Here is a 25,030-nt window from a genome sequence, read left to right as displayed (position 1 = left end):
CTCATTGTCAGTGCACAGAAAACATTCAACTTGGTAGATTAAAGGAAAATATGTTCTCTGGGGTAGGAAAGGATTGCTGCAAGACCAAAGACAAAGGAGGCATTGTCCCACAGCCACCAAGATAGAGGAGGAAGCAGAGTCACGGAGGATCACCCCCCTGGGTGATTGGGTGGCCAGACTCCTGGCAAAGTGCTCACTGTGGCTGCTCTCTATCCATCACTCAACACTAGTATCACAGCTTCAGGGGGCAGGGGGACAGGTGATATGGGAGAGAGGGTTCCGTGGACAATCTACTTTTCTTCCTTGGCTGGTTGAGAGACCAAATGCAACAAGAAAACCAAAGCCCAGCCAGGACGCCCCACTGCCCACAGCGTTGTGAAGTGTAGTCATCAACCGTTCCAGACCCTGAGCAGGGGAACTGCAAGATGACAAGATGAAAGATGACAAGGTGATGCTCCAGCCCTCTCAAGCCAATCGTGTGGGTGGTTTACACAGACATTTGCACAGGGCTGGGGACCCACCCAGCCGCCAACATCTGGAGCAGACACAGTGGAAACTCATCCACTGGGAGAACTCCTCTGAGGTTATCAGGAGTGACCCAGAGACCCAGTGACCCAGAGTAAACACAGCACCTCTGCAGCTGAGTTGGCTGGACCCCCTGCCCTGGGACACCTAGCAGAGGAGGCAGTGTTGGCTCTTGCTGAAGGAATCTGAGCCACTTTTTCCACACTGGGAAGAACAGGAGGGAGGTCAGAGCCAGACAGGAAGAGGGAGCCCCGTGCTTCAGAACCCAGGCAAATCTTTGCACTGAGGGGCCACAGAGGAACCTGAAAAGACCTCGGGTTTCAGCCTCTAAAGAGACAAGGGGCCTCCTCCGCAAGGGGGCTTTGGGGAAGACTAAATAGCTGTGGTTAGTTGCTTAAACTGTCCTGTAAGGTGGGTGCCTGGGACTTACTGCTGTTGAACTTACTGTTGTTAGTCTTTCAAGTGGTCACCTCTTGCCTTCTGAAAGGTAGAAGGAACCAGAGCCTGCCCAGAACCCCCAAGATAGCTGATGCATTCTCTGGGACTACACCCCAGCCTGCAGGGCCCCCTCCACTGCCTCTGGGCCATCTGCCGGGGACACTTTGCCCAGGAGAGGCTGCCCAGTGTGCCTGTGCCTGCAGGCCCTGGGTACTGGATACTGGTACTTTCCCAGCTGGTCTAAAACCTTAGTGTAGTGACCATGCTGTCCAAACTCAAACTGAGAGTATAATAATCTAACGGATATGAAGATGATTATATGGGGAGCACTGAGCAGACTATATGAAAGGGAGTCTATAATTAAAGAACTGAGGGGCTTGTGATTATCCTGCCTGTGGAGCATGTTGAGGCCAAAAGATGTGGGATCTGGACAGACTCCAAAGAAAACTGCCCCATTGAAAGTTATGTGACCTCAGGCAAGTTCCCTAGCCTCTCTGGGCCTCAGAATGTTCCTCAGCAGATGCATAAAATAGGTGTAATAACGATGTCTCTGTCACTAGACTATTGAGGAACCAAATGAGATAATACCTGCGAGCACGACTGTTACTATTTTTGCTGTTATTTCTAACTATCTAGCCAGAGAACCTTGAACAAATAATTTCAACTCTTTGGGGCTATGTTTCCTAGAAAATGAAGGAATTAGATTTCCCAGATTCCTTCACAGCTCTTAACATTCTTGGCCATCATCCATGAGAGTAATTGCCTTCCCATAGTTTTATTAAGTGCCAACCTTCAGGGCTGCATGGTCCTCCTTTCCAAATGTGGCCCCAGTCTCTACCCATCCCCTCTTTCCTCTTGAAAAGATCTACAGTTTTCCTGTAGTGAAGTGAGCACGCTGTATTCATTGCAGCAGTAGTCAGAACATCTAGGAAGCAACAGGAGGCTGCTGGCTTTGCAAGTGCCCTCCAGGCACAACCCTGAGAATGGGGGGAAAAGCCCCTTTCACAGACTGAAAGGTTCCACAGCCCTGGATTCTCAGTGCTTCCAGTTTCTAATCACAAGCCCTAACTGGGCATAATTGGAGGTGGAAATGAGCAGACCTACATTTGAGTGTCAGTTCTGTCATTAATCAGCTGGGAGACCCTGGGATCTTATTTAATTTCTATAAACTTGTTTGCTCATAAAGCTATGGAGCTATCACCTCATTGAGTTGCTCTGAGGATTAAATGAAATAATGTCTATAATGTGCCTGGAGCAAGTAGCAATAATTTTATGTGTTTTTGCACATCATAAAGTGTTATTCCCCATTAAGTGTTGTTGTTTTGTTTTTGTTTTGTTTTGTTTGAGAAGGAGTCACACTCTGTCCCCCAGGCTAGAGTGCAGTGGTGTAATCTCGTCTCACTGCAACCTCTGCCTTCCAGATTCAAGTGATTCTCCTGCCTCAGCCTCCCAAGTAGCTTGAATTACAGGTGCACACTGCCACACCCAGCTAATTTTTTGTATTTTTAGTAGAGATGGGGTTTCACCATGTTGGCCAGGTTGGTCTTGAACTCCTGACCTCAAGTGATCCACCTGCCTCAGCCTCCCAAAGTGTTGGGATTACAAGCATGAGTCACTGCACCTGGCCCCCATTAAGTGTTAAATTTTCATTATCACTACTGTTGGTGATCATAATGGGGAATGATGTCACTAGTTTCAACCTCCTTCATCCACAGAAGCCAGAGGCAGGCAGCACCCCACTCAGGCATCAGCTTTCTACAGCCCTGAATTTGGATATTAGATAGAAATAAGACCCCAGGCATTATCAACCTGCTTAAACCATTGTTCATGAATAACTTTAAATCTTCTGTGAGCATAAAAAGCTGATGCTGGACATTTTTCCATTTTATTCCCAAAGAGAGAGAGGTTCCTGGCTCTTCAAATGACTGCAGGTTTCCCCTGTGGGAAGGGCCATTCATTGCACCAGGCCTCCATGTCTAGGGACCTGAGTGGTGAATGGGCAGCCTTGCAGGGAGCACCAGCACCTCATGCTCCCATGGCAGCCTCCACTCAGAAAATGCAATACTGACTTTACTCCAATCTGACTTAAGTTCAGAAAGAGCAAGCACAGAGAAGAAAGCAAGATAGGAAATCTTCCCTTCTCTCCAAGTGCCTCCGTTCTGGCTTCTCTGAAATCTCCAGGCTCAGTACACTCAATCGATGAAGAGAGTGAGAAAGGAAATTTTCCACATGAATAAAATGAGAGGACAAGATGATTCAGATTCCCTTGGCTTTTTATTTCTCCAGCTGTCAAGCATCGAGAGACTTTTTAATGCATTCTCTTATTTTCCCCCTCTAAACAATCCCACAGGTGGGTGCCATGGTAAACTCCATTTTGCAGATGAGGAAATTAAAGTGAAAGAAGTTAAATAACTTGCCCAAGCTCACACATGGAGGCAGGGTTTGGACCCAGGTTTGGGTGGTCCAGGGCCAAGTTCATAATCACTATGGGAATTGCTCTGGGAAAGAACCAGAATAGGCCAGGTGCAGTGGCTCATTCTTGTAATCCCAGCGCTTTTGGAAGCCAAGGCCGGCAGATCATTTGAGGTCAGGAGTTTGAAACCAGCCTGGCCAACATGGTGAAACCCCATCTCTACTGAAAATACAAAAATTAGCCAGTTGTGATGGCGTCGCCTGTAGTCCCAGCTACTCGGGAGGCTGAGGCATGAGAATCACTTGAACCTGGGAGGCAGAGTTTGCAGTGAGCCGAAATCATGCCACTGCACTTCACAGAGCAAAACTCCAGCTCAGAAAAAAAAAAAAGAACCAGAATAACAGTGATTTCCTAAACATTACCTCAGTTCCCCCTGTAGTAGATGTTCAGTAGACTCTCTTTAAAAGATTCCCCATAATCTTTAAAAGAGATAGCTACTATAAGCCAGGTGCTTCCATATTTATTAGACTTCTTTAGTCTATGCACCACTATCCATGAGGTCAGTATTTTCTCTGCATGACAGAAGAAACTGAGGCTCAGAGAGGAAAGTGGCTTCCCAGGTCATCTTGCCTACCAGTGGCACAGCTGGGCTTGATGCATTGCTCGTGCAGGTGTGAGGTTGGAGCACTCTCTCCTGATTCTGCAATGGCTGGAGTGGGGCAGCTTCCTGGTATCAGCTGTTTTCTCTTTCTCTTCCAGGGAAGTTTCACATGTGCTCTGACAATGGCTCCAGGTGCGTGGGCATACTGAGCTTGGCCTTGGCTACCGCAGTCATCATTGCCAACCTCCTGCTATACTTTCCCAGTGGGCAGGTGCTGGAGCCTGCCAAGATCACAGACTTGGTCTGGGTTTTCCATGGCTTTATAGGAGCTAGACTCTTGGTAACAATGAGATTTATCTATTTCTCCTCCCTCAGATGAAGTGTGTCCCTAAGGACTTGTCCAGTCACAAAGCAATAATTTCATCTGGGGGCCACCTTACCTATGCCCCCAGAGCATGGCCGGCTGCTCTTCCTCTGTATCCCACAACATGCTATAAATAAACACACTCCACATTGGCACCTGGCACACTGTATTGCAAGCATCTATTTATTTGTGTGCTCCCCCATTAGGCTGTGAGATCCATAAGAACAGAGCCCAAGTATCATTCACCTTTGCCCTCTAAGTGCCTGCCTAGCAAAGTGCCTGGCTTAGATTAGAGCTCAATAAATAAATTGTTGTTAATTGCATGAAAGATACACTTTAATCAAAAGCACAATAATAGGATATTTGTCAGGTTCATCAAAGATGACCATCTTTAAAAAGTTATGTAGCTATCATCAAGGCTTTCCTAGGTACAAGTAAGGTGTTAGCAAATCTTTTCTGTAAAAGATAAGACAGTAAATACATCCATCTTGGTGGACTATGGGGTCTCTTTTTTTTAACTGCTCAACTTTGCCATAGCCGGGCAAAAGCAGCCATAGAAAATATATAAGCAGATGAGCATGACTATGTTCCAACAAAGCTTTAGCTATAAAAACAGGTAACCTGCCAGAGCTGGTCCACAGCCCATAGTTTGCTGCCCACTGAGATAGGCATGGGGTGTTTTCCTTCCTTTCTACCTTTTGTTTTCATTTGGCTCCTCCTCTTCAAGGTATCCAGTGGTCACTTACGAAAAGACAATTTATTTGTGTGAAATCCCAGTGCCAAGCACTGAGTGCTCAGCAAATGGGTGAATAAATGGATAGGGCATAAGGAATTCTCTCAAAAACAAGGTGACCACCTCCCCTCTGGGTTTTTCTTCACCCTAGTAGGCACAGTGATGTTGCGAATTGCATCCAGTGACCACCAGCCCCTCCCCTACATGGCAGAGGCTGGGGCTTCCTGTGCAAGAGTCTATCTAAATCAGCAAAACTTTGGGAAAAACTGTCTGTGTCTCAGCTCAGCGCCCTTCCTCACAGGCAGCACAGACCTAGGAGTCCAACAGACGCTGCTCAAATCATGAGTCTGTGTCTGGCCTGCTCTGCAATTTCCCTGTGCTTCAGTAAAAAGAATCAAACTATCTTACAACTAGGCGGAGGACACTGAATTAAATAACATACATAAAGTGACTGGCACACACACAGCGGCCAGTAAACATGCATCGGTCCCCTTTCCTGGCCCAGATGACCAGCTCTACCACCTCTGGGGATCCAGCCAAGCACCTGTCTCCTGCTTCTTATCCACCCTATTTTTGAAGGACAGATTTGCATTTCTCAGCTCCACTGCCAAGCAAATTACACAAATCCTTCTAAGCCTCATTCTCATCATCTGGAGAATTTACAAGAACATCACCACCCAACTTCTTTCAATATGTAAATGAACAAATACAGTGCAAACAGCTTGTGGTCACGTAGGTTTCCTAATAGCAGAATCCCAGAGTGTTTACTAAAAAAGAGTGACCCATAGAAAAATATTCTGTGGTCCAGAGGGATGCAGAGTACAGCCTGGCTCACTCATGGACCAGACACTCTGTCTCCATAGCATCCCTTAATACCAACTGGCTTGTCCAGCTCTCACTCCAGCTTTCCAGCAAAACCTCCCCCAGCTGTCCCAGAGAGTGACATGGGAATAATGCAAATAGGACCAAACCAGGCCATGAAGCTCAATAACATAAAATCCAACAAACCAAGCCAGTCTCTCTTTCTCTTTTCCTCCTTCTCTCTCTTTTCTCTTCCTTCCTTTCTTAGTTCATTCAGTCATTAGTATACACTCTATACCCTGACAGGCACCCAGCTAAAGCAAACTAAGGCAGCGGCCATGGAAGTGGAGAGGGGAGGGCATATTTGAGCAATGTTAAAAGATCAGATTGGCAGGACCTGAAGACGTATGGGGTGTGGGGAAGGGGAGCAGTCCAGGTTGGCTCTGGCATTCTGGCCTGGGTGCTAGGGGAAATGATGGTAGCTTTCTCCGAGGCAGGGACCTCAGGGGTGAGCTTGGAGGGAGGGCAGAGGACCCTATTTTGCTCTAGTTTACATCTACACCAAGGGATCAGAGGATGGTTGGGCTGGGACTGAAGACCAGGAAACAAGACGAGATTAAGAGGCACTGCAGAGAGGTGATATGGGAGCCTCCATAGTAGAAGGTGTGTCTGGAGCTGGTGCATAGAATGAGAGGTGAAAAGAACTCAGGTTAAAACCTTAGGAAGCATCAGAAACTGAGGTATACAGAGGAAGAGAAGCCTGTGAGGAAGACTGAAAAATAACTAGAAAGTCAAAGGCAAAGCAGAAAAGAGGAAAATTAGGAAAGCTGAGGAAGGAGAAAGTTTCAAGGAGTGAGAAACTGCAATGTCAATTGCAACAGGGGGAACATAAGCTGGGCCCTGAAAAGCATCCAGTGCACAGCAAGGTGTCCAGTGGATCTGGGCTGGAGCAGTCCTGGGGGAGTGGCTGGAAACAAGATTGCAGAGGACTGAGGAATGAATGGAGGTGAGGTGCTAGGGGCCTGGTATAGCACTAATCTCCCCAGTGGCTCAACTCTGAATAGAGGAAGAAGGGGCAGGAGATTGAGCTGCCCTTTATAATATAAGGAAAGCTAGAACAAGATCTCAAAAGCCACAAGGGACACTCTGAAGACAAAAACAGGCACAGCCATTTATTTAGCATCAGCTTTATGCTTAACATGGTTTAAGGATTGACGGAATAAAACCAGAATTCACAGTTACTGCCCTTTAATAATAATTGTAGCAGGCATTTTCACAAAGGTTTAGACCGTATTAAATCTTGCACACAAATCGTTTATTTCCTTCTCACAACAATTTTGTGAAGTGGGTATCATTATCTCCATCTTATGGGTGTGGAAATGAGGCCCAGGCAGATTAAGTAGTTAGATTATGGCCACACAGCTGGTGCAAGACAGAACTGAGACTCAGACACCCATCTGACTCTGAAGCCTGTGATCTCTCCATTTCTCCACTATTTGACCCATGCACTCACGTAAGATAAGACACAGGGAAAGATGGCATGCATGAAGTTCATGCCAGCAGAGGCCCCGCTCCACATCCACAGTTCTGCAAAATAGCATGTGGAGTGCTTGGGAGGGCTCTCCAGCTAGCTAAGGGTTGGTCCAAGTTTGTTTGGCACAATGTCTATCAGGTGGAATAACACACCTGAGTAGGAAACAGCCATCTTTAGCACCAATCACACGTCAATAATACATGCCCAAGGATATGTCTTCCTCACCATCATGAGAACTGGGGGTTTCCCAGATGTTCACATCTGCAAACACATTTACCAACCATCACACAGGGGGAAGTGATTTTTTTCATGAAGCCAATTCATCCATTGTAGTTAGTTCTTGTTCCTCACCTGTGGCCCTATTGTTCTGCTCTTTCTCCTACCCCACTGCTAGAAGAAACCTGTGGAAATGTGAGCACAAATTTTATCACCTCATCATTGGCTTCTGATTCTGTGCCAGGCACTGTGGTAAAATCTGCTGGTCCACGAGTTCAAAGCCCACCTGAGCAAAGGAGAATGTCATGTGCTCAGTGCAATAGTTGAGGTTAACCTGAAGGAAGGACCTAATAGTTCTGCCTGGCAGGGGTCACTGAAAGCTACAGAGAGGATTTGCATTTGTTTTCTATTGCTGCTGTAACCAATTATCATAAAGTTGGTGGCTTAAAACACCAGAAATTTATTCTCTCACAATTCTGAGGGCCAGCAGTCCAAACTCAAGGTGTCAGCAGGGCCACACTCCCTCTGGTGCTCTGGGGAAAATTTGTTCCTCGTCCTTTCCAGCTTCTCATGGCCGCTGGCATTCCTTGGCTTGTGGCCACATCACTCCAGTCTCTGCCTCCATCTTTCCACGACATTCTCCCTGCCCTCACAACTCCTTATGCTTCACTCATAAGGATACAGGTCATTGCATTTAGGACCCATCCAGATAAACCCAAGACAAGCAACTCCTCTCAAGATCTCTAACCCAATTCTATCTTTTGCCCTATAAAGTAATATTCTCAAGTTCCAAGGATTAGGAAATGAATATATCTTTACAGGAGAGTGCATTTTTTCAAACTATCACAGGAGATAGTATCACCCTCAATGGGGCCCTTTTAGAGTGAGTAGTGGTTTGCCTGATGGCAAAGGGTGAAGAGCGTATTCAAAGGCACACGGGCAGGAAAGTCCTGGGCCATCCTGGGAGCCCACAAGCTGGTGTGTCAGGAGGTCTCAATGAAGGAGAAGTGAAACTCTGACAGCAGGGCAAGACCAGGGCATGAGGGCTCATGTACTGTGTCCAGGGCCTGAGTTTATCCCATAAACAGTGAGGAATTGTTAGACGTTGTTAAATAGGAATAAAAACAAAACAAACTTTGCTCCAAAAAGCTCACATCCCCTTCATTACGAGAGCATTTTTGTGACCACACTAATGTTGCCCTCCCTAATGTTGTTGAGAGGAGGTAAAGAGGGCTACTGCTTTCACAGATGTGCGCTAAGTACAGTGGGGTCTATAGAATTTTTAACCACTCCCAAGATCTACCCCAAAAGGCTTTATTTCCTAGGCTGTGGGCTTTCCCTCTTTTGAAGGGTAGACTATTGACCATCTCCTAGTACTTGTAATTCCTTCCTTTTAAAGCACAGGAGTGTATGCAGGACTCTAGCCAACAGAAATGGGTTGTGCTCCACAAGGCACCAGGAAAAATGAGCCTGGAAGGAGGCTTTGAAGAGAGTCATTGCAGTGGACCCAAACACTTATCAGTGCTGGGAGGCCAGCCTGCTGAGGTATTGTTGTTTGTTTGTGCTTCTGTTGTCTGTGGAGATGTCTAGAACCTTCTCCTCCCTTGGCTTTCTTATTTCCTCAGTAACCAGTGAGATAACACATCATAAAACTGGTATTCCAGCAAGAAGGAACATTGGAGATTGTACAGTCAAAAACTTTCACAGATGGTCCCTCTCAATGGCCCACAAAGAATAAAAAGAGAAAAAAAAAAAAAGGTTCGTCCATGATGTATTTATTTCTCATTTCCAGCCCATGGCCCTATCATGCTACTGCTCTTTCTCCTACCTGGTACTGCTAGAGGAAACCTGTGGAAATGTCACTACAAATTCTACAAACGTATCCCACATTTGACAAACAAGAAAGGAAAAACCCTGAGAGACTGAGTGGCTGCCCAAATTCACATAGCTCTCATTTTAGAGCTGGAGGGCATGTTTAGGATGACAGCTGACCCTTGAACAACACAGGGATTGGAGCACCTATCCTCCTCACAGTCAGAAATTTGCCTATAACTTTTGATTCCCCCAAAACTTAACTACTAATAGCCTACTGTTGACCAGAAGCCTTACCAATAAAAAATATAGTCAATTAACACATATTTTGTATGTTGTGTCTATTATATATTGCATTCTTATTGTAAGAATACAGTATAAGTACAATTAGAATACAGTATATAGTACCCACATCATATAATAAACTAGACAAAACTAGTTTATTGTACTAGTTTTGTCTAGTTTATTGTATGAATACAGTATATAACACACATAACATACAATAAACTAGAGAAAGAAAATGCTATTAAGAATCATGAGGAAGAGGAAATATGTTTACTATTCATTTAGTGGACATGGATCATCATAAAGGTCTTCATCCTTGTCTTCACATAGAGTAGTCTGAGGAGGAGGAGAAAGAGGAGGGTTTGGTTTTGTTGTCTCAAGGATGATAGAGGCAGAAGAAAATTCACATATAAGTGGACCCATGCATTTCAAATCCTTGTTGGTCAACTGCATTTACTCATCCCCAGGTAGATTACAAAGCTCCTTGCTTGGGGACAATCTTATCATCTCTGGACCCCCCCCCCTCCAGACCCTCCACAGATCCTGACAAACAGTGGAGAGCCTGGGGGGTCCAGAGATGATAAGGGCACCCTGAATGAGCGTGTGGCTGACAGGGCTGGGACTCAGTCTAGGTCTCCTGACTCCCAGCATCATGCTCTTTCCTGCACATAAAACTGCCCATGTCTCTGATCACAGTTCTGACAGTTTTTGTTCATACATCTTTTTCCTCCCTTAAAGAACAGAAAAAACTCAAATAGCCAGAGATCATCCTGCTCCAAAGATTCTGTGCCCCAACCCTTGCAGCCCCCAGTCAGAGCCTCCCCAGAGACCTTGGACTCCACATCACCTAGGGCCAGCTGCCTGAGTCATTCCATTCAGCTCCCCCAACCCTCCCTGTGGTGAGAAAGACACAGCATGGATGTGTCAGGAATCAAAGCTCATGCTTTGAAGCAAACGCGTCCTTCAGCTTTGCCCCACTTCAGCAATGCACTAATATGCAGGAAGGGTCACTGGTCTTCCCATGGCCTCACCGTCATACTCACCCATCCAGTCAACAAGTATTTATGGACTTTGTACACTATACAGGCCCTGTTTTGGTCACTGGCTCAGGCATTAGGTAAGTAAGGTAAGTAATTATTCATTTACTCACCCAATCATACAACATTTACTGAACACCCACCACCAGGATGGCAAATAGGCTTCATTTAGAGCTCCAGTACTGATCGATTGGCCACTCTGTTTTGAGAACTGTGAGGCCTTGTCCAGGCTTGATGGGGAAGAGTGCAGGAATCCATTACTGATGTCTGTCATGAGTGCGGATGAGAGGACTGGCAGCACACTTACTTCTATGTGCCAGGTGGCTCACGGCCCCAGGAGTCAACCATGGATAAGTTTCACTTCCTGCTCACAATTTTGTAGCAGATGATTTCATTCTTTCAAATTGCAACTGGGACAAAGGGTTTCTCAGCTCTAGTGCCCCATTTTTACCTACTTGGGAAACAAAACAAGGACACCTACCTAGTCTAGCATCTGGAAGAGAAGATTTGGGCCCTCTTCAATTTACCAGAAAACTCAGTGGATGGATCTTTAAAAAGATAAGTTCCCATCACCTCCCTCACCATTGTTGCACTGAATTTCTGGCTCTTTCCCATTTCTGATGCTGTTCCATGTGCTTTAGGACACACAGGGCACTATGGGGGCAGGTACTGTGTGGCCATTTCTTCACTGGGTTTGCTCAGCGGCCCCTTCTGTGACACAGATAGTGGAAACTATCCCCTTTCAGGAAAGACACTCTGGAGTGAGTAGCATTCACAGTCTTGGAGCAGTGTCTCACATCTGAAGAGGATACAGCTGATGACCACAAAGGGCATATTCTCTTGGTATTGACCGTCCAGTAATGGGGCCAGGTACTTCCATTCATACCTCCTATCTTGTTCCTCTCTCCCTACTTTCTCCCAAATCAACAATGTCTGAGAGATGATTGGTCTAGGAAGCAGCCCTGCATGGGCCCATGAATTAAGCAGTCCACCCAAGGTATTCAACCCAATACCTTGATTTCATTAGCTCCAATTCATGAACTCCACCAAGTAGGTGTCGAGGGAAGGGGTACAAAAGAAGGATAAGACAATTTTACCTGTTTGCAAGAAGCACACAATCTAACTGGGGAGATTTAACTACTAAATTTGGGGTTGCACAAATATTCTGAAGTGGCTGGACCCTGTGATGCACATTTATTTTCCTAAAGGAGTGCAGGAAGAAACCCAGCGGCAGTTGATTTAAAAAGACCCTGCTTCTTTTGTCATTTCATGTTCTCTCCCTTGCAGATTTCATCATCCCCATGGCTTTCAGAGCCATCCATCCATTTATGTATAATCATGACTATGAGTATTCCTCAAGTGTCTCTCTCCAGCCCAGATATTTATTCTACATTTCTGAGCCAAATAACTAATTGCCTCTCTGAAGTTTCCTCTTGAATGTCTCACAGCATTTCAATATGAATATGCCCCAAACCCTTGATGTTCACCCCAAATCCCTTCAGTCCATGCCCTAGATGGCATCTAAAACCTGTGAGTCATCTTTGATTCTTCTCTCTTCTCACTTCCCACATTCAATCCCCTGTGGATTCTACCTCCACAATACATCTTGAATCTGACCACTGCTCCCACCCAGTCTATTGTCACTTTCTTCTAAATGTCCATCACCCTTCGCCTCTGCCCCTACAACAGCCCTCCAAGTATCTCAGTCTCATTTTGCTCTTCAATCCTTTGGCCATAGATCAGCCAAAGAGATTTCTGTAAAATGTAAAGGTGCTGGTGAGCCCCAGAAGTCTTTAATTTAAGGAACTTACAATCTCACTTGGAATTCAGTAGGTACAGATATGGACAGCAGTGAAGGTAGAGATAGAGACAGAGATATCAAAAGATATAGAGGCCTATGAAATATGGCCTGAAAACCTATTTCATATTCTCTTTGTCCAACTAGGGTACTCTGACTCTGCATCCCTTAGGGTTTTTACTTCCACGCTGTTTCTCTGCTGCTAGCCTCTTTCAAGGCCAGGGAACCCCACTTTTCCCCGTGAAGCTTTCTCCAGCTACTCTAGGCCTCTCAGACCTTTCCTTATACTATGTTAATAATTATGACATAACTGAAATAGATGCCTACTCCATGACAGACACTGTGCTAATTATTATCTTACTGATCCTCACAACCATTCTATGCCGTTGATGCTGTTTTAACCCCATTTTAGGCGTAAAGAATCTGAGGTGCAGAAACATTTAGGAAACTTATCTATTTAACAGAACTTCTTAGCGAGAGAGCTGGAATCAAGACCTGGGTCTGTGGGACTTCAGAGTCATTGCTCTTTACCACCCCCACTTGTATCACATGCCTTTCTATCTCCTCCTATGCCCTGTTGAGTGGCTATGTCTGTATTCACAATGCCTTGCTGAGATGTTGTGCTATTAGAGGGAAAGATGTCTGTTCAGCCCTCTCTCTGATGGACACATAATAGGTCTGCTGTCTCTATGAAGGTGAGAGCAATAAAGACCCATAGATCTGTAACCCCCTGTACTAGACTAGTGCTTTTCTGATGCTTGTAAGTGGCAGCTCCCTCCCTTTACTGTCTTTGTTACAGTAACAAATAATAATAGAGCCCTATGAAATATGGCCTGAAATCATATTTGAATTTTCAAATAACTATTTGGAAGTTCTCTAATATAGAGCCCTATGAAATATGGCCTGAAAACCTATTCCATGTTCTGAATTTTCTCCCTTGTACTAGCAGGGACAACTATTCAACCAACCCACCTGGGCAGTCACCAAGAGTCTGTGCATATCATTCTCTGGAATGCGGTCTTACTTTCCATCCTCCTGAGGACTGGTGCTGTGGAAGCTGTGCTTTGCCTTAGCCAAGTTGTCAGTGGACTCTGCAGCCACTGCAGACTCTTCTGTGGTACATGCATCTAAAAAGGACACATCGGTGCTTCTCGGGAATTTCCTATCATTTCCCCTTGCCCTATCCCTTGCTGTCTCTCTGCTGCCCTAACTCCACACTCCCAGAGGTAAGCCAGTAACTGTGAAATGTCTTTTGAAATGGAGAATTTCACTGGCCACTTTTGGCTTAATTGGGTAAACTTAATAGCTTATGGCCAGCCTGAAGAAATTATTGACAGATGCGAAACAGTTTCCCATGGTTCAGAATAACTGGATTTAGTAAATGTCAATTTCCAGAGTTCTTAGAAGCTGAGAAAAAAATCAACTTTCTTACCAGGGCTGATTTTTATAAAGGTCAACAGCTTTTCAACTTCATCTTCTTTGTTAGACTCAAGATCATCATTCCCCCCAAATGATCTCTAAACATGACATAAGAAGTCATTGGCTTTATGATAATTAAAATAATAATTATGATGATGATAATGATAGACACTCACATTTATTGAGTTGTTACTATACCCCAGGCCCTGTGCTAAACACTTTATCTATAGTATTTCAGTTAATCCTCTGAAGCAAGTAGCATTATATTGCTGTCTCACAGATGAGGAAATTCAGGCTCAGAGAGGCTTAGTTACTTATTCAAAGTCAACAAATCTAAGTCTTGAGCCTGATTCTGGCATTTATATTCTTGACCGCTCTCCAGTGGTTCTCCAAGTTTATTGCTTAGACACTAGTTCTATGAATTGTATTTCAATTCATCCTATGAAACAAGGATGAACTGAAATATAACTGAGACAATGGGTTTCTCAGCTGTAGTGCCCCATTTTTTGTCTACTTGGGTAACAAAGCAGGGACACCTACCTAGTCCAGCAGCCCATCATGCTACTGGGCCTATCATGCTACTGCTCTTTCTTCCACCTGGTACTACTAGAGGAAACCTGTGGAAATGTCACCACGAACTTTAGAAATGTATCTCCCATTTGACAAACAAGAAAAGAAAAACCCAGAGAGACTGAGTGGCTGCCCAAATTCATGTAGCTCTCACTTTAGAGCTGGAAGGCATGTTTAGGATGGCAGCTGATCCTTGAACAACACAGGGATTCAGGCACAAACCTAATAATAGATGTTACTCATTTATCAAAGAAAAAAGGAGGGGAGGCTTTAGCCAAATAAATTTGGGGTCACTGGATTAAAACAAAGTTAATAGGTTTCTCTACTGTGAGAGTTGGGAACTTTTACAAAGCGGGTACATTACTAATCTCCAGGAAAAGAAAAGCAAATACAATTCCCCAGTCTTGTTTAACCACAAAAACCATGTTCTCCTGGGACAGTTTTTATGGGGCTAACATCCCATGGGCACACTTGAGAAATATTGCATGACTCACAGTAATGGGGTAGAACCTACCACATTTAACCCTTAGGAATCCAACAGGCGCTCTCCCTCTCCCTCTCCCTCTCACTCTCCCCACGGTCTCCCTCTCATGCGGAGCCGAAGCTGGACTGTACTGCTGCCATCTCGGCTCACTGCAACCTCCCTGCCTGATTCTCCTGCCTCAGCCTGCCGAGTGCCTGCAATTGCAGGCACGCGCCGCCACGCCTGACTGGTCTTGGTGGAGACGGGGTTTCGCTGTGTTGGCCGGGCCGGTCTCCAGCCCCTAACCGCGAGTGATCTGCCAGCCTTGGCCTCCCGAGGTGCCGGGATTGCAGACGGAGTCTCGTTCACTCAGTGTTCAATGGTGCCCAGGCTGGAGTGCAGTGGCGTGATCTCGGCTCGCTACAACCTACACCTCCCAGCCGCCTGCCTTGGCCTCCCAGGGTGCCGAGATTGCAGCCTCTGCCCGGCCGCCACCCCGTCTGGGAAGTGAGGAGTGTCTCTGCCTGGCCGCCCATCGTCTGGGATGTGAGGAGCCCCTCTGCCTGGCTGCCCAGTCTGGAAAGTGAGGAGCGTCTGCGCCCGGCCGCCATCCCATCTAGGAAGTGAGGAGCGCCTCTTCCCAGCCGCCATCACATCTAGGAAGTGAGGAGCGTCTCTGCCCGGCCGCCCATCGTCTGAGATGTGGGGAGCGCCTCTGCCCCGCCGCCCCATCTGGGATGTGAGGAGCGCCTCTGCCCGGCCGAGACCCCGTCTGGGAGGTGAGGAGCGTCTCTGCCCGGCCGCCACGTCTGAGAAGTGAGGAGACCCTCTGCCTGGCAACCACCCCGTCTGAGAAGTGAGGAGCCCCTCCGCCCGGCAGCTGCCCCGTCTGAGAAGTGAGGAGCCTCTCCGCCCGGCAGCCACCCAATCTGGGAAGTGAGGAGCGTCTCCGCCCGGCAGCCACCCCATCCGGGAGGGAGGTGGGGGGTCAGCCCCCCCGCCCGGCCAGCCGTGCCGTCCGGGAGGGAGGTGGGGGGGTCAGCCCCCCGCCCGGCCAGCCGCCCCGTCCGGGAGGTGAGGGGCGCCTCTGCCCGGCCGCCCCTACTGGGAAGTGAGGAGCCCCTCAGCCTGGCCAGCCACCCCGTCCGGGAGGGAGATGGGGGGGTCAGCCCCCCCACCCGGCCAGCCGCCCCGTCCGGGAGGGAGGTGGGGGGGTCAGCCCCCCGCCTGGCCAGCCGCCCCGTCCGGGAGGGAGGTGGGGGGGTCAGCCCTCCGCCCGGCCAGCCGCCCCGTCTGGGAGGTGAGGGGCGCCTCTGCCCGGCCGCCCCTACTGGGAAGTGAGGAGCCCCTCTGCCCGGCCAGCCGCCCGGTCCGGGAGGGAGGTTGGGGGGTCAGCCCCCCGCCCAGCCAGCCGCCCTGTCCGGGAGGGAGGTGGGGGGGTCAGCCCCCCGCCCGGCCAGCCGCCCCGTCCGGGAGGTGAGGGGCGCCTCTGCCCGGCCGCCCCTACTGGGAAGTGAGGAGCCCCTCTGCCCGGCCAGCCACCCCGTCCGGGAGGGAGGTGGGGGGGTCAGCCCCCTGCCCGGCCAGCCGCCCCGTCCGGGAGGGAGGTGGGGGGGTCAGCCCCCCCGCCCGGCCAGCCGCCCCGTCCGGGAGGTGAGGGGCGCCTCTGCCCCGCCGCCCCTACTGGGAAGTGAGGAGCCCCTCTGCCCGGCCACCACCCCGTCTGGGAGGTGTGCCCAACAGCTCATTGAGAACGGGCCAGGATGACAATGGCGGCTTTGTGGAATAGAAAGGCGGGAAAGGTGGGGAAAAGATTGAGAAATCGGATGGTTGCCGTGTCTGTGTGGAAAGAAGTAGACATGGGAGACTTTTCATTTTGTTCTGCACTAAGAAACATTCTTCTGCCTTGGGATCCTGTTGATCTGTGACCTTACCCCCAACCCTGTGCTCTCTGAAACATGTGCTGTGTCCACTCAGGGTTAAATGGATTAAGGGCGGTGCAAGATGTGCTTTGTTAAACAGATGCTTGAAGGCAGCATGCTCGTTAAGAGTCATCACCAATCCCTAATCTCAAGTAATCAGGGACACAGACACTGCGGAAGGCCGCAGGGTCCTCTGCCTAGGAAAACCAGAGACCTTTGTTGACTTGTTTATCTGCTGACCTTCCCTCCACTGTTGTCCCATGACCCTGCCAAATCCCCCTCTGTGAGAAACACCCAAGAATTATCAATAAAAAAATTAAAAAAAAAAAAAAAAAAAAAGAATCCAACAGCCTTTTTTAAACCACCAAAGAAGCAGAGAATAATGGGATAAAACAGGTTAAAAGCTACTCATCTATGTTTTTTAAAAAATAAAAAAGCTTTGCTGTAATAGCCGGAATCAGAAGGGCCTTTCCAGATTTTTTTCATAATTATTTGCCATGATTGCAACAAACATTTTTGAGAATTTAATGGATGGGTAGAAGCTATGGCAGTTCTTAAAGAGTTACCAGACAAGGTCCCTGCTTCAAGAAGCTTGTAAACTAATATGTCTTGCAGTGCTGACTGCTTCCAAAGCAAAATCTAGGGTTTCCGCTAGCCAAAATAGCACCTTTGTTCAAATTAGAGGAAAAAAATTGTGGAGAACACAGCTTGGCAAGCAGACAGAACCACTGGCAACTTTTTAGAGGTGCCTTTTCCTTCAGGCTGATGCAGCCCATACTGGGTTGAGGAGTGTCCCCTAAAAATTCTGTTCAAACAGAACCTTGGAATGTGACCTTGTTTAGAAATTGGGTCTTTGTGGAGGTAATTAGTTAAAATGAGATCATTCTGGATTAGGGACGGCCCCAAGTCTAATATGACTGGCATCGTTATAAGAAGAGGAAAAGAAATACACACAGGCACAAAAGAAGGTCCTGTGAAAACAAAGGCAGAGATTAAAGTGCTGCTGCCACAACCAAGGAATGCTAAAGATTTCTGGTAGCCGCCAGAAGCTAAGAACAGATTCTCCCTCTGAGCCTCCAGAACCCAGATGACACCTTGATTTCAGACTTCTGGCCTCCAAAACTGTGAGAGAAGAAATGTGTTGTTTTAAGGCACCCAGCTGGTGACAGTTCATCACAGTAGCCACAGGAAACTAATACCCAGCCCCATGGCAGGCATAGGTCAAGCCTGGCACAGTCTGGATCTCAGTCCCTGACTCAGACCCTGGATGCTCGCTGCCTTGTACAGAAACAACCTGCTCAACCAAACAGGGTGACCCTGCTGAAGCCGCAAATGTCCAACAGTCCTGCCAACCGTGGATGCTTCTGTAGCTTCCCTTTAGCTCTCACTCCTGGCATGAAACCAGACACAGACTACCCAGAAGATGAACTGAGCACTCTGCAATGGGCCCAGCACACTGCTGCATCTGAGACCATCTTCTCGGCCCTAACAACCCTGGCGGGCTCTTCTCTCTGGTGGGGAAATTGGGCTTAGGGAAAGGACATCTTTAGGACAGTCATCCCACCAAGTAGAATGACTCTATGCAGCCTGAATACTGTTTCCCTGGGAGGAAAAAAATCCAAAGCATAAACTTTTATAAGCTGTTTTAATTAAAACACTCTTTGTAAAGTGATGGATTTGAAGCAAGGGAGGAGAAAGGTTTTCTGGCAAAAGTGTCTTTTGTGGTGTTTCTTTGGTGAGCAAAAGGAACTCAACTGATGAAAACACAAAAGCACAAACATTCTGTGGCCAGTAAAGTGGGTGGAGGGGGCAATGGAGACAACCTCAGGTGGGGCCCAGCTTGTAACGCTGGCAGGGCTCTGTTAATGTGCTCCATAAAGGGCTTTGGAGGGCGGGAGGAGCACCACCAACATTTTAAATGTGAGGCCAACCATAAAACGATTCATGATTAGTCCACTAAAATGTGTTTATTGGCAAATAGGAAAGAGATCCCTGAAAATAAGCAGGAACAGGTGATTTTCAAGGCTGACTTAGGTCTCCTATTCAGCTACTCAACAATTATATCCGAGCTACGTGCAGTGGCTCACCCTGTAATCCCAGCACTTTGGAGGCTGAGGCAAGAGGCGAAAAGTTCGAGACCAGCCTGGGCAACCTAGCGAGACACCATCTCTATGAAAAATTTAAAAATTAGCCTAGCATGTGTCTTGTGCCTGTGGTCCCAGCTACTCAGGAGGCTGAGGTGAGAGGATCACTTGAGCCCCAGAGGTTGAGGTTACAGTGAGCTGTGATCACACCACTGCACTCCAGTCTGGGTGACAGAGTGAGACACTGTCTCAAGAAAAAACAAAAATTAAAACAAACAATAACAACAAAAACACAATTGTTTCCTGAGTTCCTACTATTTGCAAAGCAAAAGTGTCTGGAGAAAGGAGGGATCAAGGGGCTCTCAGTTATAAAAGAAAGGGTTTAAGTGGAGTGAAAAGTCTCAGAACACAACACCCAGACATAAGGCAGAAATGGAGGAGGTGGAATTTCCACTTCAATCTCTGTGTCTTTAAGCATATCTCATCTTTTAAAATTCCTTACTCTCATTAAAAAGACAAAATTTAAAGATCTTAATTCATCATTCTAGAATCAGGCAGCTCTCAGAACCAGAACAAGTTCAAAGGACTCCAACCTGCCACGTGATCAGACAGCACTGACGAACAGAAAATACAAATGAGGTACAGAAATGGAAGTGAGGTATAGAGACAGCCTGATTGGTTACTGCTTGGGGTTTGCCTTATTTGAACTTGGTCTGAACAATTGACCGCCTGTGATTGAATGAAGCTCTCAGCTGCTATGATTGGCTGAGACTCAGCTATATGTTACAAAAGTATATTCCTAAATTAGGCTTCCAGTTAGTTTATGTATGAAGTTAGGCTGCAGTTTGTTATGTGAAGACTCCTGTATGGAGACATCCTCAGGTCAAATTTAGTTTAATTTAACACTCAAAAGAAACCACATGTTTTCCAGACCAGAGTTGACTGATATTGTTTTCCAACTCTCATTCTGTATGTTTATAACAATTTTATATCGGGATACAACAGTGTGCCTATAATGTGATACATGTGCTGTTGGAAGTGTTAAGAATATCTTTCATTAGTGCATTTGAAAAATCTTTCCATTTTACCCTATACACTGTGTGCATAGTATAAAAATTCCCATGTTGTCTAGAATAAGCAAAAATGACTTTTATAAACATATGATTTTTCTAATTAAGCAAAATTATCTAAAAGATTCATCTGTCTGCCAAGCCTGGTGAAAGGCTCTTACAGTCGTGACACTGACTTGAGGGAAATATCATGGTTCAAAGGCGCATTGACAAACCAACATCCAGTATTTCTTTCAAGCCAAGTGGGTAGAAAATAATTTTAAAAGAGGCAGATGCACAGTAGGGAGTGGGGGGAAAATTAAAGCTAATATAAGTAGCTTTAGAAAATTTGGAAAATTATGTTTTGGCTTTGAAAATTTGGAAAATGTTGGAAATTGTAAGGCTAGAGACAAAGGAAATTGTATACAAACACTGTACTTTAAAGTTGCTTCTCACAGGGGTATAAGTTAAGAATTATGAAATTGCTATACATGTATACTAGGGTTGAATGATGGATGGTGAGAGCCAGTGTTCTCACTGTTAGAAGAAGAAGTTACAGATAAGCAGAGACAAGGCTAGAAGGAGTCCATGTGGTGATAGATCAGAGTCAGAGACATCAATCTAAACTCACATTTAGCTTAACATAGATACAGATGGATAGATATAGAAATATATATATGTGTGTATGCATGATTATACATACATACCTATATTTCCTAGCTCTGTCTGCTGCAAAAACTAGAAACAGTTATACCTCAGTACCAATGAGCATACCCAGAGCCAAAATCTTGAACTCTACTGCCATTCTCCAAAAAAAAAAAAAAAAAAACCAGGACTCCTTGAAGAACACAATCTTGATTCTAGCGATGGTGTAATATTGTGACATAATAAGAAATATATATTTGGCCTTCATCCCAGGTTCCTAGCACAGAGCTCCTAAACCCTTAAAGTTTCCTAAGTGATGGGGTGAGAAGAGTGCCTTTTTAAATAATATTTGGTATTTGTTCCTGGTTCCTGACACAAGAGAGTCTAAAACGCTTGGAATTTCCTGAGTGACAGGAGTGAGAGGAGCATCATTTACTTTTCCTCAGAAGCCCCTTTTAACCATACTTGAGTTTATGCTGATGAGGTATCTCTTGGTGGGCCCATACATAGCTTCAGGATGGGAACTGGTTACCAGAAGATCAGCCAGTGATTAGATGGTTGAAATTTTCAGCCACACCCTCTGACCTCCAGGGCTGGAGATTGATTAATCACCAGTGACCAATGATGTAATAGATCATGCCTACAAAATAGAGACTGCAGAAAAAACCTGGGTTGAAAAAAAACAGTTTTTTCAACTGGGTTCAGAGAGCTCCTGGGCTGGTGAACACATCAAGGTGCAGCTTGGGGAGTGCATGGAAGCCTCGCACCCCCATCTTCATGCCTTGCCTTCTGCATCTATGCTGCTCTTCCTGAGTTGTAGCCTTTATAATAAACTGACAATAGTGAGTAAACTGTTTTCCCGGAGGTCTGTCCAGGGATAAGTTCCATTTGGTTATGGTACATAACCCTTTTTATATAGTTCTAGACTTGGCCAGTGCTTTTTCACCAGCCACAGCTACATCTCATAGACTCTTTCCCAAAGCAAATCTCCTGTGGTGGCACTAGATCATATCTCTGATCTTAAAAACTGCTAAGTGGCAAATAATAACCAAAAAGCTGAACACTATTCAGCTGGATTCCTCAGGAGGCCCTCAGAAGCTTAATGAGACAAGCCGTGAAGGTGGCTCAGAGGACAGAGTGGTGGGAACCCCCAATTTATAGCAGGTTAGTCAGAAGTACAGGAGGCCTGGACTTGCAATTGGTGTTTGAAGTGGAGGAAGCCTTGTGGACTGAGCCTTGAACTTCAGAATCTGACTCTAACTCCAAGTAGATAGTGTCAGAACCGAACTGAATTGTGGGGCACCTTTGCTAGTGTTAGAGAACTGGTTAGAGTAGGGAAGAAAAAAACACACAGTTGGTGTCAGAAATGTCATGGGAGTGAAAAACAGATCTTTGTAGATGGGGATGAAGAATACAAGATGAGCTTGAAGCATCTTGTGTCTGAAAGTAAGGAAGTGCTCAAAAACCAAAAGGGTGGGGGCATGCCAAAAGGAAACAGAGGTCAACCTAAAGTATCTCCCCATGGCCAAAGCAGAAACCATTTGAGCAACAAAACAGATAAAGCAATGTTATGTGTAAATAAATATAAAATAAATATTTATAACTGCATACTGATATAAGTACATAATTACATAAATAATAAATGGGAAGGCTAATCTTCCTCACAGAAGAATTCCAAATAATTTATGTAGATTCCTAGGAAATAGAATTTAATTCCCCCATCCCTTTGAGTATGGAGTGCACCTAATGACTCACTTCTAAAGAATGAGAGTATAGAAAGTGGGAGGAAAGTCATTTTACAGTGACAAAAACTAGAAAGGTCCACCTAGGCCAGGTGATAAAGATTAACATCCGTAGCAATGCCATGTTGATAGCATGTACCACTGAAATGATGTGAATGGAATACAACTATGTTAGCTTCACCTCTGTGGTCTTCCTCCCAAAACCCATGACCCCAGTCTAGCTATGAGAAAAACATCAGACAAACCCAATGGAGGGACATTCTACAAAACATCTGACCAGCACTCCTCAAAACTGTCAAGGTCATCAAAAACAAGGACAAGCTGGGAAACTGTCATAGCCTAAAGGAACCTAAGGAGACATGACAATTAAGCATAATGTGATATCCTGGATGGGATCCTGGAACAGGAAAGAACATTAGTGGGAAAACTGGTGAAATGTGAATAAAATGTGGAATTCAGGTAATAGAAATATTCCAACGCTGATTTCTTAGTTGTGACAAGTGGTAATGTCTGATGCTCACAGTAAGGGAAAACTGGGTGAGGGGTATATGGAAACTCCCTGTGCTATCTTTGCAACATTTTTGTAATTCTAAAATAAAAAGCTAATTAAAAAAGAAAAAGAAAAAAAATTGGTTTCCTTGACTAAGGCTTTGAGTTTCCCAGTCTACTCAAGCAGAAGTCTAGGAAACCTGAAATCATTCAAAAATAGAGAGAGACTCAACCAAGTCTTCCTGTGTCTGAGTATCACTGTCTGAGCAGTGGCCCTACCCACAGATGGCTAGAGTGAGCAAAACACAGTGGAGAAACACAGGGCCCTTTATGTGAGGGACACTGATTTGGCCCCTTCCTCCAAGGCAGTATGCTGAGAGTGGTCTAAAGAAATTACGTCATGGAAACGCACCACGCCATCAGACCCCTGACAGGCTAATATTTGGCTGTAGAGTGGCTGAGAACATGAGTTCAGGAATACAGCCATGTCATCTAATGGATTCCTTTGTATTGGATGTTTTCTTACCCTACTACATGCAGTCATATGCCCAGTGTATGCCGTCTTACCTTCCATGCAAACAATGCCCTGAGAATAATTGCTGGTCCCTGGTTTGAGCTAGGTGCCCCTTCTGTTCCCTAGACATATCTTAATTGCTGCATCCATCTTGTTGGTCACATGCCAGCTCCCTCAACCTGGCTGGGTTGCAGGCATGTGCCTTATTCATCTCCTTATTCATCTCTGTATCCACAGTGCCCAGGGCATAATAAACTCTCAATAAATGTTCAGTGGATGACTAAACGTAAGAACAAATGACTGAATGTTCCAAACCCACAAAGGCAATCAGGAAATGTGATTATCCAAAGTAGCTTACACAAACTGAATGCACAGCTCTGTAAAACGTCAGCTTCCTTCTTTTTCTCTTCCTCTCTTTGATCACCCTTTCCCAAATGTGGAAATCCCAAAAGGGAACAAAGCCAGTTCTGAGCAGGATTTCATTTTGCAACTGTAGTTAAAATGTACTCTGTCACTTGCCACCAGCATCACTGGGATTTATATGTTCTTAGTAAGGGCCACGCTGTTCTAGATGAAGCATAAAAAATCCTATAATGATTATGTCTGGGATCTTTGCATACGCTGAATCATCTCCAAAGCTTATTTCCTACATGATCATACCTGACCCTGAAACGGCCTTGTCATGTCTTCCAAGTGCAAATAGTTGTCAGAATTTACTGAGGAGGAAATTGAGGCTCAGAGATGGCTGTCTGATATGAGGCAGATACAAGGCTCAAATCTGAACTTTTGACTCCAAGTCAAAGGTTTCTTCTGTGGAATTTCACTGCTGGTCACTTAGATGAAGAGAGAAAGACCAGTACAGAGAAAGGAATTCGAGGGTACCGTGATGTGGTTGGAGCAGTAAGGGAAGGGCTTTGGACAACAGGGACTTGAACTGGATACGTGGGAAAGAGAGGTTGTCCAGGCAGAAGGAACAGCAGGGGCAAAGGGAGGAAGCAGGAGCTGGCAGGGCCTCTGAGAGCCACCCTAAGGGGGCCAGTGACTGGGACAGTGGGGTAACACAGGCAGACCTGGGAGTAGAGAAGCCCTTCTACCTGTGAATTTCAATGGATGAACACTCACACAAAGCTAAGCTGAACCCTGGTGCCAAAGTGCCCTTGACCCAAACATGGTATGAGCATCCTTTTGCCCTCCACCATATTGTAAGGGCACATTCCCTACGCTAGGATGGTTGTAAGGATTTACCATAACTAATTTTTTTTTCCTGGAGACAGGGTCTTGCTCTGTCACCCAGGCTGGAGTCCAGTGGCACAACCATGGCTCACTGTAGCCTTGACCTCCCAGACTCAAGCGCTCCTCCTGCCTCAGCCACCTACTAACTGGGACTACAGAAATGCACCATGATGACCAGCTAATTTTTTAAATTTTTAGCAGAGATGAGGTCTGACTATGTTGCCCAGGCTGGTCTCGAACTCCTGGGCTCCTGTGATCCTCTGCCTTGACCTCCCAAAATGCTACTACAACAATTAAGAAGAGCATCCTTACAATGGAAACAAAAGTAGCCATTAAAAAGGAG

General features: G+C 46.0%; 1 pseudogene; it reads left to right on the top strand.

Moving 5' to 3' along the window:
• Positions 1 to 25,030, top strand: part of LOC101060084 (uncharacterized) — a 103,851-nt pseudogene that overhangs the window by 4,500 nt on the left and 74,321 nt on the right.

This window comes from Homo sapiens, chromosome 11 (assembly GCF_000001405.40).
Source record: "Homo sapiens chromosome 11, GRCh38.p14 Primary Assembly".
In the NCBI taxonomy this organism is placed as follows: Eukaryota; Metazoa; Chordata; class Mammalia; order Primates; family Hominidae; genus Homo; species Homo sapiens.
Note: the sequence above shows the minus strand (reverse complement) of the source record. Positions and strands in the feature narration are given on the sequence as shown.